Source organism: Homo sapiens, chromosome 12, assembly GCF_000001405.40.
Source record: "Homo sapiens chromosome 12, GRCh38.p14 Primary Assembly".
Classification (NCBI taxonomy): domain Eukaryota; kingdom Metazoa; phylum Chordata; class Mammalia; order Primates; family Hominidae; genus Homo; species Homo sapiens.
The window spans coordinates 7,402,917-7,418,485 of NC_000012.12; the positions used below are offsets into that span (position 1 = coordinate 7,402,917).

The 15,569-nt window shown below is 36.3% G+C and overlaps 1 protein-coding gene across 10 annotated transcripts in view; it reads right to left on the reverse strand.

Moving 5' to 3' along the window:
- Positions 1-15,569, reverse strand: part of CD163L1 (CD163 molecule like 1) — a 125,386-nt gene that overhangs the window by 84,149 nt on the left and 25,668 nt on the right. For all 10 annotated transcript variants that reach the window (XR_931282.3, XR_007063068.1, XR_007063067.1 and 7 more), the window contains 2 exons: positions 3,616-3,936; positions 619-939 (listed from right to left, as the gene is read on the reverse strand). Coding sequence is in view for 7 of the 10 variants with exons in the window: in XM_011520616.2 (XP_011518918.1) it covers positions 619-939; positions 3,616-3,936 (642 nt within the window). In the remaining 3 variants the exon portion in view is untranslated. The remainder of the gene's footprint in view (positions 1-618; positions 940-3,615; positions 3,937-15,569) is intronic.

Here is a 15,569-nt window from a genome sequence, read left to right on the forward strand (position 1 = left end):
GCCACTGCACCTAGCTTTGTTTTTTAAATATCTAACCTGTTTTTTCTGTTTAAAAGTTCTTGGAAATGTTTTATACTTAAAATATTTCATAAGTATTATACACATAGATTTTCTTTGTTTTCAATTCTACTAATGACATTCTAGATGCTTACAGAATTATACATCGTATCAACATATGCATATAAATATATCTATATCAGCTATTTGGATTTGTATATATTCCTAATTCTCTATAATAAGCCTTAATTTATAATCAGAAATAAACAATGTATATTATTAAATAAAAAAAGTTAAAAAGCAGCAGAAAAGCTGTTAAGAAAACTGTAAATTAGTACAACTCATTAGTTTTCTATGAAGAGAGGTTGCCCAGTTATTTTAGAGATACAGATTATACTCATGCAGTGGTAGCAGCTGCATCTGATTTCAGGGGAGACTGCTAGTGAGAAGAAACTCTCTTTTTACAATGTGCATTTGAAAAGTTCTTTGTGCAGCTTAAGAGTATTTTGGGTTTTTTTTTAAGGTCCAGAAAACCTTTTCTTCAAGCTATTGTTTCTAACCTCCCAACAGATTATTTCTAAAAATTCAAATGTGTACACTCTCATGATCTTTGAACCTTACCAGAACAAATTACTCCAGCATCTGATCTTCGGAAGCATGTTCGCTTTGCTTTTCCATCATATGTGCAGTCCCAGAGAGCTGACTCATTCCCAGTGCAAGATATGCTGTTTATCCAAATGTCTCTAGCTTCATTACTAGGTTTAGCACGACGACTGCCAAAGACGCTGAACGGACATCCTAGCTGCTTACAAACCACAAGGGCTTGTTCATTCTTCCAGTTCTGGTCACATATTGTCCACCACTGTTCATGAATTCTCACCTCTACTCTCCCTGAACAATTGTTACTTCCATCTGCTAGTCGCAGTTCCAAATCTGCTCCATCTAGGATGAAGTCACAGAGAAACGTCTGAATTGGGTTTGGGACAATATCATCAGCATCCCTCTCCTCCAACCCCTCCAATGTGAAGATTAGATGTATCCTTCACATACTGAGAAAAGTAAAGACTAAAGACTGGAAATCATTTTGTTTTAAAATTTTAAAGATTGAAATTTTAAAGATTTTAAAGATTGAAATTTTAAAGATTGTTTCATAACGACTTGTCAGTCTTTATGAAAACAATCTTCTTTTAAATATGAAAATTGAAATTATAATCCTAAGAACCTTGCTTTAGCCTTACTAAAATTTAAGAAACTAAACATTGCAATAAAAAGCCATATAAACCTATATATCATTAATTACATTAATTTTCAAAATATTAGAGTGGTTATTTTTAACACCGTAAAATAAAATAGTGTTGGGAAATACTTGCATTTCAGTAACTTCAGAAAGAAAAGGGACAAAAGGAATGCACAATTAGCAAAAAGTCTCTCTTGGATTTAAATAGAAATATGTTCTTTCTCATACTGTTTTCTACGAAGAAGCAAGCCTTTGCTTATTAAACATATTTGTCATAGGAAATGAAATTTGTTCAGTGGTAATTTTTGAAGAAACTGTGTGTTTTTGCTCCATCAGCATATACATCACGTTACTTCTTTGTGTTCCTGTGACTCTGCTTTTTCATGCATACAAATAAATATATTAAATAACCCCAAGAAAGTAAAAATGTGGAGAACTTTTCTTGAAATAATTGAGGAAAGGAGATATAATTTCTATGTCTCATCTCCTCCCATTATTCAAGCTTTTCATACATCATTACAAAAATATAATTTGCTATCTAGTGAGAAATCTGGTTCACATTGAATAGGTTAGTCTTCGGAGATTTGGAGGTTTATTTTCCTATAAATAATGTAGGTCATAATGATAGTTCTCAACCTATACCTGTTGAGAACTTCCTGGTTGCCAGGCACATTTTAGGTATTTTCCCTGCACTATTTTATTTAATGCTGTTATCCTAGTCATGATATAAGAAATCTGCAACTTGGAGATTGATTTATACAGGGTCACATAATTATCAAGTGACAGATTTTAAACTGTGAAACTGTGAACTGTTTTTGTTTGGGAAAAAAAAATCCTCTGACTACAGGGCTGAAGAGAAGGCCAATGTATCTAACTACCCATTTTCCTGTGGGTTGGCCATACACATCTGTTTTCACTGTTGGGACGGTTTTCCAACCTTATTTTCACATCTGCATCATTCTTCATGGCCCTTCCTTACTCTTCCAGAGGCAAATAGTTCCAGAAGTTCCAGAGTTTGAATAGCAACTGGTCTGACAGTTAAGGATGTTATATCAAGTCAGAAGTACACAGTTATGAATTCACTTCATTGTAAGAAAATTTATCAAAATGATTAAGATTCTCTCTGTTTCCTTCCCCCTTCTCTCATCTCTCTCATCTTCTCATGTCTCCCTCTTTTCTCTCCTAACTTTCGTCTACCTCTCTTTTCTGTTATGTGGAGAAAAATTTTTCTTATAAAATGATGGATTGATTAAATATACTATGGGAAACTCTTTTGAATGGTGAAAGTGGTTGGTCCCCAGATAAAACTTGCAAGCAAACTAGTATAAACAGAAAGAAAAGGATTAAAAGATGTTCTGAATATATTATCTTTCCCAAAAGTCCTATAAGGATGGCATAAATCCCGTGGCTAAGGTACAGCTAAACCCATAAACCTCTTCGTCTACATATGTTTTTCTATGTATATCGTTCCCTGCGGCATACTCTAGACTTAAGAAAAACTCTTCTTAAAAGATGTGACCTGATCTCAAATTCTATAGGAAATAAGATTAAGGCATCCTGTGTAAGGCTGGTAACGTAAGGTCAGTAATAATTTACGAAAGAAGCCTCTTCCATCAAGACAAACTGACTCTCAGAGGAAAATCGTTGGCTCTACATCTAGGGATTCTCCTTTCGTAAGAATATTAGAAGGTGTGGGTTTAATCTTATTAAGAGAGTGAACAGGTTTCATTACATCTTTGAACATAAAATACTACTGTGAGAGAAATATGAAGGATATTTTAATCCCTGATATACAAAACTATAAATAAACAGCGAGGGGTAACTTGCTTGTAGTTGAAAGTTGCAAACTAGAAAACAAATGGCTGCAGACAAAAATTTTACTAGTATAAGGTACAAAGTAATTAGCAAAGTCATAAATTTTTAGATAGGTACTCTTTGGAAATAGTTTATTTTAATGAAAGGAAGTGCTAAAACAAACTCAGTTATAACCTAGAAAAATATAGTTGTGTCTATGAATATGCAAAGTGATTACACATTTTAAAATTATACTGAATATTAATATAAGCCATGCACTTGTATAGATTAACAGCAATTTTGACTAGATTGGACATTTTGTTGCACCAATTAGAATTAAGTAAAATGGTGTGTTGGGGGTGGGTAAAAACCTTATTCCCATGAGGCTTACAATGTAATATGCTGCATAAAATGCAGACATGTTCCCTAAGGAAACATTGAAAGTGTCAATTCTTACACATCACAATTGGTTGTAACTTCTTCACAATTCTTACACATCACAATTGGTTGTAACTTTTTCAGGGTTTGGTCCTAGTTCTCCAAAAAAGAAATTTTATCTGATGTAATCATGTGGATGTAAGTCTTACCTGAGCAGATCACAGACACATCGTTTTGATGAAGACAGTCAAAATTGACGGTTCCGGAATGTCTGCAGTCCCAAAGAAAAGATTCATTACCGGAGCAGGAGACACCATCAAGCCATACAACATCAGACCCTGACTGCAAATGAGGCAAGCCAGCGAAGTGAAGTGCGGTTCCACATCCCAACTGCTTGCATACGACATCAGCTGCAGCATTGTTCCACTTATGGTGGCATACGGTCCCCCACCTTCCTTGGATTTTCAGCTCTACTCTCCCCATACAGCGGTTAGTTCCACCTACAAGCCTTAGTTCAAGATCACTACTATCTGAAACAGAGATATAAACACAAAGCCCAGGTGAAGTTTTGATCAGAAACTTCAGATTCCAGATCCTGCTATCCAAATAAACACAAATATATAATAAATTGAGATTCAATGAATGTCTAACTCTTGCTTTTTAAAATTCTTGTACAAGTTTAATGTAATAGAATCTATCCCAGGAAAGGATCATACTATGATGTTGACAATCCACCAGAATCTCTGGCATTTGGGGAATAAAGCACAACAGAGAGTAGAAATGCCCTTTCTGATTGTGAATCACAATAAATCAATCAAAGGTCAATAATGCATGTAAATTTATTGTCAAAACATGAGCCTTTGCTGGCTCTGAGTCTAGCCAGCAAACATTTTAGAACTTAATAACTGTGTATAAGCAGTGGCAATAAGATATCATTGTCATCACTGTGATCATCCTCTTTTTCCTATTTCAAAAATTTTTCTTCCTTTAAATGAACATTTAACTCCAACTTCTTGCAATATAACTTCCAATTATTCATCTTACAGGAATTTACTCTTGAATGAAATGGAACAAACGAAACAAATGAAAAAATAAAACTTCTAAAGGTGAAAGCAAGTGTGACCAGCCATAAATTATGGGCTTGTTATATTATTAAAATGCTCTGTTGATTTAATTCAAAGTCTCAGCCTTTCCTTATTTCCTTACTTCTTTACATCACTTAGCAAAATTGACCACTACGTATATGTATCATATGTAGTGGTCAATTTTACTAAGTGATATAAAGAAATAAGGAAATAAGGAAAAGCTGAGAATTTGGATATATATATACACACACACACATATATATATACACACACATATATATAGTGATCAATTTTGCTAAGTGATATAAAGAAATATGGAAATAAGGAAAGCCTGAGAACTTGAAGATATGTGTATATATACACACACACATCCATACACACACACACACACACACACACAGACACACACACACACACACATACACACACAAAATCACCTCACCTTATCCACAGGGGTGTGGTTCCCAGACTCCCATGGATATTAAAATCTGCAGATGCTCAAGTCCCTTAGTTGGCCTTCTAATCTGCTGGTTTCACACCCACAGATTCAACTAAATGCAAAGTTTTAATCAGCGGTTGGTTGACTCCATGGATATGAAACCCACAGATTCTAAAGGCCAACTGTGTGTGTACATATATATTTTTACACTTAGCAAAACTGAACACTACATATATATATATATATATCATATATATGCCTAGGTCTTCCAAGAATCCAAGAATACATTGTCTGTCTGTCTCTCTCTCTCCAATTGCTTGTTTTGTCCCCGTATCTCTCAGTTAAATGAATGAGATTTTTTTTACAGATTATTTACCTTTATTTAATAAATTAACAAAGTAAAATTACTGGTTTTGTATGCATTTGTGTGTGTACAGTTCTTTGAGTTGTAATACAGGTATTAATTTGTGTAACTATTACCACAGTAAGAATATAGAACTTTGTTACCCCATTCACTCATTGAAAGACAGTTAGTCACAGTGTATTATTATTTTAATATATTGCTAGATTCAAGAAATAGAATGTCACATTAGCAATATTTTTAAACTATTTCCACTTTTGTATTTTTATCGATACATATCAGTTGTATGTATTTTGGGGATACATGTGATATTCTGATACCTATATACAGTGTGAAATATTCAAATTAGAGTAATTTGGATATCCATCACCTCAAAAATGTGTATTTTATTTGTGGCAAGAACACTCCAAATTTTCTCTTCTAACTATTTAGATGTTCTTTTCTTAATCTAATAACTGATTCAGGAAATAGATTCCCAGAAATAATGTGGAACCTTGGATCTAGGCATACTCCAAGTGATTCACAATTGGGCACGCCAGCTCTTTGAGTCAAAACACTGCCTCTGCTTTTGTTATTTTGAGCTGAGATTCTGTTCTTTGCAAAAGCCTTTCCCTGCTTCAGTTTTGTACTTGTACTTTTTTGACTACCATGTCTAGGAAAGAGCATAGGATAAAAAGGGAGATAGCCAACGCCCAACATGGTTTGTTTTCCTTTTTCTCTCCTTGGTGCCCAACATCCAACCAGTCATCCAAGGGAAAAAAAGAAGAAATAAAGAAGAATCATACTTCTCATTGCTATTGCATGTGTATATGACTTCTATGGAAGGTGAGATCATTGAGGCCATACAGTAAGTTTATAAACCTACAGATGGAATTAGCATTTTTCCAAGAAGAGATTATCACAGTGTTATGTATTTTAAAAGAGACAGTCAATAGATAAGGAATATTAATTCAAAATGTGTTTTTTTAAGTAAGCATAAGAAAGGAAGCCATGTGTCATTTGTAAATATATTTAAGTGTATTCAAAATCTCCTCATAAAGTAAGTTTTATTTTTGTATACTAATTTATGTAAAATCTGCCTAAATGTAGCACACAAAGTTCAGAACCCACCAAAGGAGACCCTCAATAACAGCATTTCCCAACCTTTTTGGCACCGAAGACTGCTTTTGTGGAAAAAAATTTTTCCACGGGGGTCGGGGGGAATGGAGGGGACAGCGATGGTTTCAGGATGAAACTGTTCTGCCTCAGATAATCAGGCATTAGATTCTCATAGGGAGTGAGCAACCTAGATCCCCCAAATGCACAGTTCACAATAGGGTTTGCGCTCCTGTGAGAATCTAATGCCAGCCCTGATCTGAGAGGAGGTGGAGCTCTATCAGTAATGCTCTCTTGCCCGCCTCTCACCGCCCACTGCGTGGCCCAATTCCTAACATACCGTGACCGGTACCAGTTTACAGCCCGGGGGTTGGAGACCCCTGTCGTAAAGGGTACATTTCGAGAAATAAGGACTAGAACAGACTAGCCTTTGTAGAAACTGAAGCCAAGATTTAATCTCTAACTGTGACTGAATTAAGATTATCTGAGATTGCCTTCTGCCAAAAACATAAGATTATACTACACCTCCAATTGGCTTTATAATTTTTCATGAATTGTGCATCTTACTCTCTCAGAAATAAAAAAACTATGGAGAAGATAACATGATTAAAAGCCAAGAGGAAAAAAAGACACAATCAACAGGAGGTGTGAATTACCAGAAATAGACTGTAAATTACCATCCTTAATATATGTACGACAAAATAAAAGGCAAGACTGAAAATTTTGGCAGAAAAATAAATATAAAAACTATAAAAATAAACCAAATGAAGGTTCTAGAACTGAAAAATACAGTAATTAAATTAATAACACAATAGATTAACAAAATTCATCAAAGAAAAAAGTATTAGCATACTGTAAAATACAAGCATAAAAAGACAAAATCACAGGAAATGCAGGAAAAAAAGGTTTCAAGAGGAACAAAGTAGGGAATAAGAAGACAAATATTTGTGTAATTGGAGTTCCAGAGAGTAAAAAGATAGAGAATTCAGCAGAAGAAATATTTGAAAATATAACAGTTAAAGGCCAGGCACAGTGGCTCATGCCTGTAATCTCAGCACTTTGGGAGACCAAGGCGGGCAGATCAGTTGAGGTCAGGAGTTCGAGACCAGCTTGGCCAACATGGTGAAACCCTATCTCTATTAAAAATACAAACATCAGCTGGGCATGGTGGTGTGCACCTAAACCCAGCTACTCGGGAGGCTGAGGCAGGAGGATCGCTTGAATCCAGGAGGCAGAGGTTGCAGTGAGCTGAGATCACACCACCGCACTCCAGCCTGAGTGACAGAGCGAGAGTCCATATCCAAAAAAAAAAAAAGGAGAGCGACGAGACCATCCTGGCTAATACGGTGAAACCCCGTCTCCACTAAAAATACAAAAATTAGCTGGGCATGATGGCACGTGCCTGTAGTCCCAGCTACTCGGGAGGCTGAGGCAGGAGAATCGCTTGAACCCAGGAGGCAGAGGTTGCAGTGAGCTGAGATCACACCACTGCACTCCAGCCTAGGCGACAGAGCGAGACTCTGTCTCAAAAAAATAAAAAATAAATATAAATATAAATATATATATATAATAAAAAATAGTTAAGAATTTGCCAAAAATTGAGACTCTTCAAATATAGCCAAAATTCAAGCATTGCCATAAACTACAAGTGCAGGAACACAAAGAAAATGACATCTAAGCACATAATGGTAAAATAGCTGGAAACTAAAGAGAGAAAAAAGAAAACAAAACTTTAAAAGCACACAGAGACTAAGGTGGATGTCCTTCAGAGAAAATTAAATAAAAACAACAATTCTCCCTTTTCAAGAGAAAAGGGAAAGTCATAAAACATGGAACAATACCTTCCAGACATTAAAAGGAAAACAGAATAGCCTAAAATTCTGAGATAATGCTTAAAGATGATATTGCTCGTTTCCTTTTTAAAGAATAAATAATTATGAAAAATTTGAACATAGATTTTCTTTTTAAAATTTCCATTTGTTCAAAGTCTTACTAAAACAAATAACTCCAGTACCCAAATTATGATTACCATTATTATTCCCCTGATATGGTTTGGATGTTTTGTCCCCTCCGAATCTGAGGTTGAAATGTGATTCCCCAGTATTCAAGGTGGGGCCTGTGGGAGGTGTTTTGGTCATGGAGGAGGATCTCTCATGAATGGCTTTGTGCCCTCCCTGCAGTAATGAGTTCATAGGGGAGCTGGTTGTTTAGAGAACCTGGCACCTGGCACCTCCCCCACCACCTTGCTCCCTTCTCTCTTGCTTCCTCTTTCCATGTGATATGCTGACTTCCCCTTGGCCTTCTGCCATGATTGTAAGGTTTCTGAGCCCCTCACCAGAAGCAGTTGCTGGTTCCATGATTCATGTACAGCCTGCAGAACCATGAACCAAACAAACCACTTTTCTTTATAAATTATCCAGTCTCCGGTATTCCTTCATAGCAATGCAAATGGACTAACACATCCCCCAACCATAGTGTTTGCATACCCATAGAGCTGATTTATCTCCAAAGCAGGATGTATGAAACATCTATATATTCTTGGATTAAGCACTAACATTAGGAGGAAAATTTGTGTTGACTACAAAGTGTTAACCCAGTTAATTACAAACAACTATTAGCATCCCAGTTCTGATGACACACAGTTCCCCACTGATCCTGGACATTGACATTTCCCACTTCTTCACATTGGTTACTTCCATTCACTATCTTTAACAATTCCTTCCTATCTTCAAAATAGACAAAAGTCTGGGTCATAAGTGAGACCAAGGAGAAAAAGTCTTCCTGGATTTGAAAACATCATTTATCTACTTATTTCTATAGGACATTCCTTTTTGAATCAACGGACTCATGGCTTTAATGCTAAAATATTGTCCTCACAATTCATTTTACTAGGAACAATTGTTCATTTCTAGAACAAAAGGAATTCAATATATGATGTATTCCCTCACTTAAGGTCACATAAATCTTTTGGCTGAAACTTTTAAGATTTGTTGTTTATTAGAGTAAAATAGACTCCCAGGAAATGGGTTTGAAGATGTATCTGTGGGACACTCTCATATGCTGTATTACGCAGGACACCAAAATTACATAAGCAATTAAAGAATCTGGTCAAAAGAGAAAAATAGAATTGAAACAATCTTCCCATAAAGAACCATTTGAAATGGAACATAAAATTTCCATGGAATAAAAGTTGACAATTTGTATATGCATAATAAAAACATTTTAGAAACATGCAAATTCTAATCACAATGATATGGTTGTAATCTTAAAGGAGAGGATAAATCATAGATAAAAAATATTGCACACTATCTGGAGAGTATAAAAAGAGGAAGATCACAGGAAAAAAAAAATGTGTATTACCAGTAAGATGTCAACACAGAGGCAAGCCAAAAGAACATAAGCCAGATGGCAGAAAGACCTCATATCTCCCACAGAAAGAATTTTAACAACCATTTATGAGTGAAAATATTTTTATGGGATCCTAGAAGTACACATAAGAAGTCCAAGCACCTGGCCGGGCGCAGTGGCTCACACCTGTAATCCAAGCACTTTGGGAGGCCGAGGCGGGTAGATCACGAGGTCAGGAGTTCAAGATCAGCCTGGCCAAGATGGTGAAACCCCGTCTCTACTAAAAATACAAAAAATTAGCCAGGCATGGTGGCAGGTGCCTATAATCCCAGCCACTCGGGAGGCTGAGGCAGGAGAATCGCTTGAACTTGGAGGGTGGAGGTTGCAGTGAGCCGAGATCATGCCACTGTACTCCTGAGCGACAGAGTGAGACTCCATCTCAAAAAAAAAAAAAAAAAAAAAAGAGGTTCAAGCACCTTGGTGGAGCAAAATACAAATGAAAATAGACACATTAAAGAGGATAAGAAGGACAGTTTCACTTTCCCTGTATCACTCTTCTAAGTGGCACAGCTATGGCCAAGAGAGACTCCCTTAGTACATGATTTCTCCCATGGGAGAAGGTGGAAATGAAGTGAGTGCCTGGCTTTCCTAGCCTTATGGAACATTTCCCAAGAGGCCCATTTCTGTCTCATCTCACCTAGAACACTGAAAAGATTAGCACAGCGGAATAATCTGGGGACCATCAGGAGAAAAGAAAATGAGTGGAGGCTTACAGCAACCAGCGGATGCTAGTAATTAGACACACATCCTACCAACCAGCTCATTATCTCTACCAAGAAACCTGCTCACATGCCATGTAGGATGCCTCACCTGTGGATCCCTCCGCTAGCTAATATTTACCCCCATCAATCTATGCATCTCGCCCCTGGGCAGTGCCCCACATTTCCCCACAGAATGTGTGTGAGGTTCCATAGATAACTTGTGTGGTCTTCCCCAGATGGTGCATGTGAGCCTCTGCAAGCAGCACATGCAAGATCCTCAGACGGTGTGTGTATCTTTTGCAGACAGCACACAGATGTCAGCAGCTGACTTGATTCTGCTGAATAGAGAGGAGGTGTACAACCTTGAGCACTTCTGGGCACTTGCCTAAGAAAAATAAATGGAAATCTCTCAGTACTCAGCCTGGCTTTGCAGGATTGAGAGAAGATACACAGTCCCCAGATTTCCACACTAGCAGGGAACAAAAGGGGTGGATTAAGTACACCCATAAAAAAGGTCTGAGAGACCCCCTAGAATCTCTAGCCAGGCTGAGTGGTGAAGGTTCATTTTTTCCAAAGCATCAGTAAAGACTAGAGGAAATGACTTATTCAAATGGAAAAACAGAAACACCAAGGCTTCAAAAAACACAATGAATGAAGGAAATATGGCACTACCAAAGGAACAAAATAAAGTTCCAGTGGCTGACCCCAAAGAAAGTAAGATCTAAAAACAGCCTGACAAAGAATTAAGAATGCTCTTCTTAAAGAAACTCAATGGACTAAAGAGAACATAGATAGGCAACTAAATAAAATCAGGAAAATAATGTATGAACAAAATGAGAAGTTCAGTAAAGAGATAGAAACAATTGAAAACAATGAAACAGAAATTTTGGAGTAAAAAAAATACAATGACACCTGAAAAATTCAATACAGAGCTTCAGCAAATTACCTGATTGAGCAGAAGAAAGAACCAATGAACTGAAAGACAGATAACTTGAAATTAATCAGTCAGAAGAACAAAAAGAAGGAGAAATAGTGAAGTCAGCCTACAAGACCTATATGACACTATCAAATTAACCAATATATGCATTATAGAAATTACAGAGAAGAGAAAAAGAAAAACAACAGAAATTTAAAAATTAATAACTAAAAATTTCTCAAATCTTAGTAGGAAAATGAGCATCCCAAACCAATAATCCCAAGGAACTCCAAATAGATTGAACATAAAGAGAGCTTCACTGTTATACATAATAAGCAAATTGTCAAAAGTCAATGACAAAGAGAAAATGTTGAAAGCAGCAACAGAAAACTAGCCACATGCAAAGAAATTCCCATAGAGCTATCAATGAATTTTCTCAACAGAACCTTGCAACCTAAGAGAGAGTGGGATGAAATAGTGAATGTACTGGAACAAAAAAAGAACCCTGCCAATCAAGAACATTATACTTGGTAAAGCTTAATTTCAGAAATGGAGAGATAAAGACCTTCCTAAACAAACAAAAACTGAGAAAGTTTATCACCACATCTTCCTTAAAAGAAGTGCTAAATAACGAAATTTCAATTGAAATAAAAGATTGCTAATTAGCAACATGAAAAATATGCAAGTATAAAGCTAGTAAAAAATAGCCAAATTCAGAATACTGTAACACTGTAATGATGATGTGTAAACAACTTTTAACATAATTGTAAAACTTAAAAGCATTAAGCAACTACAGTTACAGTAATTTGTTACTGGATAAAAAATATAAAGATATGTATATTCTGACATGAACAACATAATCAATAAAATAAAATATAACAGATCTGCATTTCATGGGAGTTAAGTTGTTATCAACTTAAAAATAGTTATAACTCTAATATGCGTCATGTAAGCTTTGTGGTAAACATAAAAGAAAAAACTAGTAGACACACCAAAGATAAAGAGAAAGGAATCAAAGAATACTACTACAAAAGAATAATCACATCACAAAAGAAGACTTTAAGAGGGGGAAAAATAGAAAGACTATAAAACAGTGTAAAATAATATTTTTTATTATACTTTAAGTTCTGGGATACATGTGCAGAACATGCAGGTTTGTTACACAGAAATACATGTGCCATGGTGGTTTGGGGCACCCATCAACCAGTCATCTACATAAAGTATTTCTTCTAATGCTATCACTCCCCTACCCCCCCAACCCCCAACAGGCCCTGGTGTGTGATGTTTCCCTCCCAGTGTCCATGTGTTCTCACTGTTTGACTCCAACTTATAAGTGAGAACATGCAGTGTTTGGTTTTCTGTTATTGTGTTAGCTTGCTGAGAATGATGGTTTCCAGCTTCATCCACGTCCCTGCAAAGGACATAAACTCACCCGTTTTTTGGCTACATAGTATTCCATGGTGTATACGTGCCACGTTTTCTTTATCCAGTCTATCATTGATGGGCATTTAAGTTGGTTCCAAGTCTTTGCTATTGTGAACAGTGCCACAATAAACATGCAAGTGCATGTATCTTTATAGTAGAATGATTTATAATCCTTTGGGTATATACCCAGTAATGGGATTGTTGGGTAAAATGGTATTTATGGTTCTAGATCCTTGAGGAAATGCTACACTGTCTTCCACAATGGTTGAACTAATTTACACTCCCATCAACAGTGTAAAAGCATTCCTATTTCTCCACATTGCCTCCAGCATCTGTTGTTTCCTGACTTTTTAATGATCAACATTCTAACTAGCGTGAAATGTATCTCATTGTGGTTTTGGTTTGCATTTCTCAGACGACCAGTGATGATGAGCTTTTTTTCATATGTTTGTTGGCCACATAAATGTCTTCTTTTGAGAAGTGTCTGTTCATATCCTTCACCCACTTTTTGATGGGCTGGTTTGCTTTTGATTTGCTTGAATTCCTTGTAGATTCTGGATATTAGCCCTTTGTCAGAAGGATAGGTTGCAAAAATTTTCTCTCATTTTGTAGGTTGACTATTCACTCTGATGATAGTTTTCTTTTGCTGTGCAGAAGCTCCTTAGTTTAATTAGATCCCATTTGTCAATTTTGGCTTTTGTTGCCATTGCTTTTGGTGTTTTAGTCATGAAGTCTTTGCCCATGCCTTTGTCCTGAATGGTATTGCCTAGGTTTTCTTCTAGGGTTTTTATGGTTTTAGGTCTTATGTTTAAGTCTTTAATCCATCTTGAATTAATTTTTGTATAAGGTGTAAGGAAGGGTTCCAGTTTCAGTTTTCTGCATATGGCTATCCAGTTTCCCAATGCCATTTACTAAATGAGGAATCCTTTCCCCATTGCTTGTTTTTGTCAGGTTTGTCAAGGATCAGATGGTTGTAGGTGTGTGGCATTATTTCTGAGGCCTGTGTTCTGTTCCATTGGTCTATATATCTGTTTTGGTATGAGTACCATGCTGTTTCAGTTACTGTAGCCTTGAGGTATAGTTTAAAGTCAGATAGCATGATGCCTCCAGCTTTGTTCTTTTTGCTTAGGACTGTCTTGGCCAAACAGGCTCTTTTTTGGTTCCATATGCAATATGAAGTAGTTTTTTCTAGTACTGTGAAGAAAGGCAATGGTAGCTTGATGGGGATAGCATTGAATCTATAAATTACTTTGGGCAGTGTGGCCATTTTCATGATATTGATCCTCCCTATTTATGAGCATGGAATGTTTTTCCATGTTTGTGTCCTCTCTTATTTCCTTGAGCAGTGGTTTGTAGTTCTCCTTGAAGAGGTCCTTCATGTCCCTTGTAAGTTGTATTCCTAGGTATTTTATTCTCTCAGTAGCAATTGTGAATGGGAGTTCACTCATGATTTGGCTCTCTGTTTGTCTATTATTGGTGTACAGGAATGCTTGTGATTTTTGCACATTGATTTCCTATCCTGAGACTTTGCTGAAGTTGCTTATCAGCTTAAGGAGATTTTGGGCTGAGATGATGGGGTTTTCTAACTATACAATCATGTCATGTGCAGAGACTATTTGACTTCCTCTCCTTCTATTTGAATACCTTTATTTCTTTCTCTTGCCTGATTGCCCTGGCCAGAACCTCCAACATTATGTTGAATAGGAGTGATGAGACAGGGCATCCTTGTCTTGTGCTGGTTTTCAAAGGGGATGTTTCCAGCTTTTGCCCATTCAGTATGATATTGGCTATGGGTTTGTCATAAATAGCTCTTATTATTTTGAGATACATTCCATCAATACCTAGTTTATTGAGAGTTTTTACCATGAAGGGATGTTGAATTTTATTGAAGGTCTTTTCTGCATCTATTGAGATAATCATGTGGTTTTTGTCATTGGTTCTGTTAATGTGATAGATTACATTTATTGATTTGCATATGTTGAATCAGCCTTGCATCCTAGGGATGAAGACGACTTGATCTTGGTGGACAAGCTTTTTGATGTGCTGCTGGATTTAGTTTGCCGGTATTTTATTGAGGATTTTCACATCGATGTTCATCAGGGATATTGGCCTGCAGTTTTTTGTTGTTATTGTGTCTCAAAACAGTGTAAGATAATTAACAAAATAGCATCAATAGGTCCTTACCTATCAATAACTGCTTTAAATGTAAATTGATTAAATTCTCTAATGAAAAAACAGAGTGTAGAGGTAAAAATGGCAAATAAGAGGCAGAACAAATGGACTTAACACACTTTTACAGAAAATTTTACCCAACAACTGCAGAATATGCATTCTATTCATCAGCACATGGAATATTCTCTAAAATAGACTATATGTTATGCCACAAAACGAGTCTCCACACATTTAAGAAAACCAAAATTATATCAAGTACACTCTCACACCACAATGGAAGAAAATTGGAAATCAACCCCAAAAGAAACCCTCAAAACAATGCAAATACATGGAAATTACATAATCTGCTCCTGAATGAGCATTGGGTCAACAATGAAATCATGATGGAAATTTAAAAATTCTTTGAACTGAATGATAATAGTCACACAACCTATAAAAACCTCTGGAATACAACAAAGGTGGTGCTAAGAGCAAAGTTCATAGCCTTAAATGCCTGCATCAGAAGGTCTGAAAGAGTATAAATAGACAATCTAAGGGCACACCTAAAGGAACTAGAGAAAC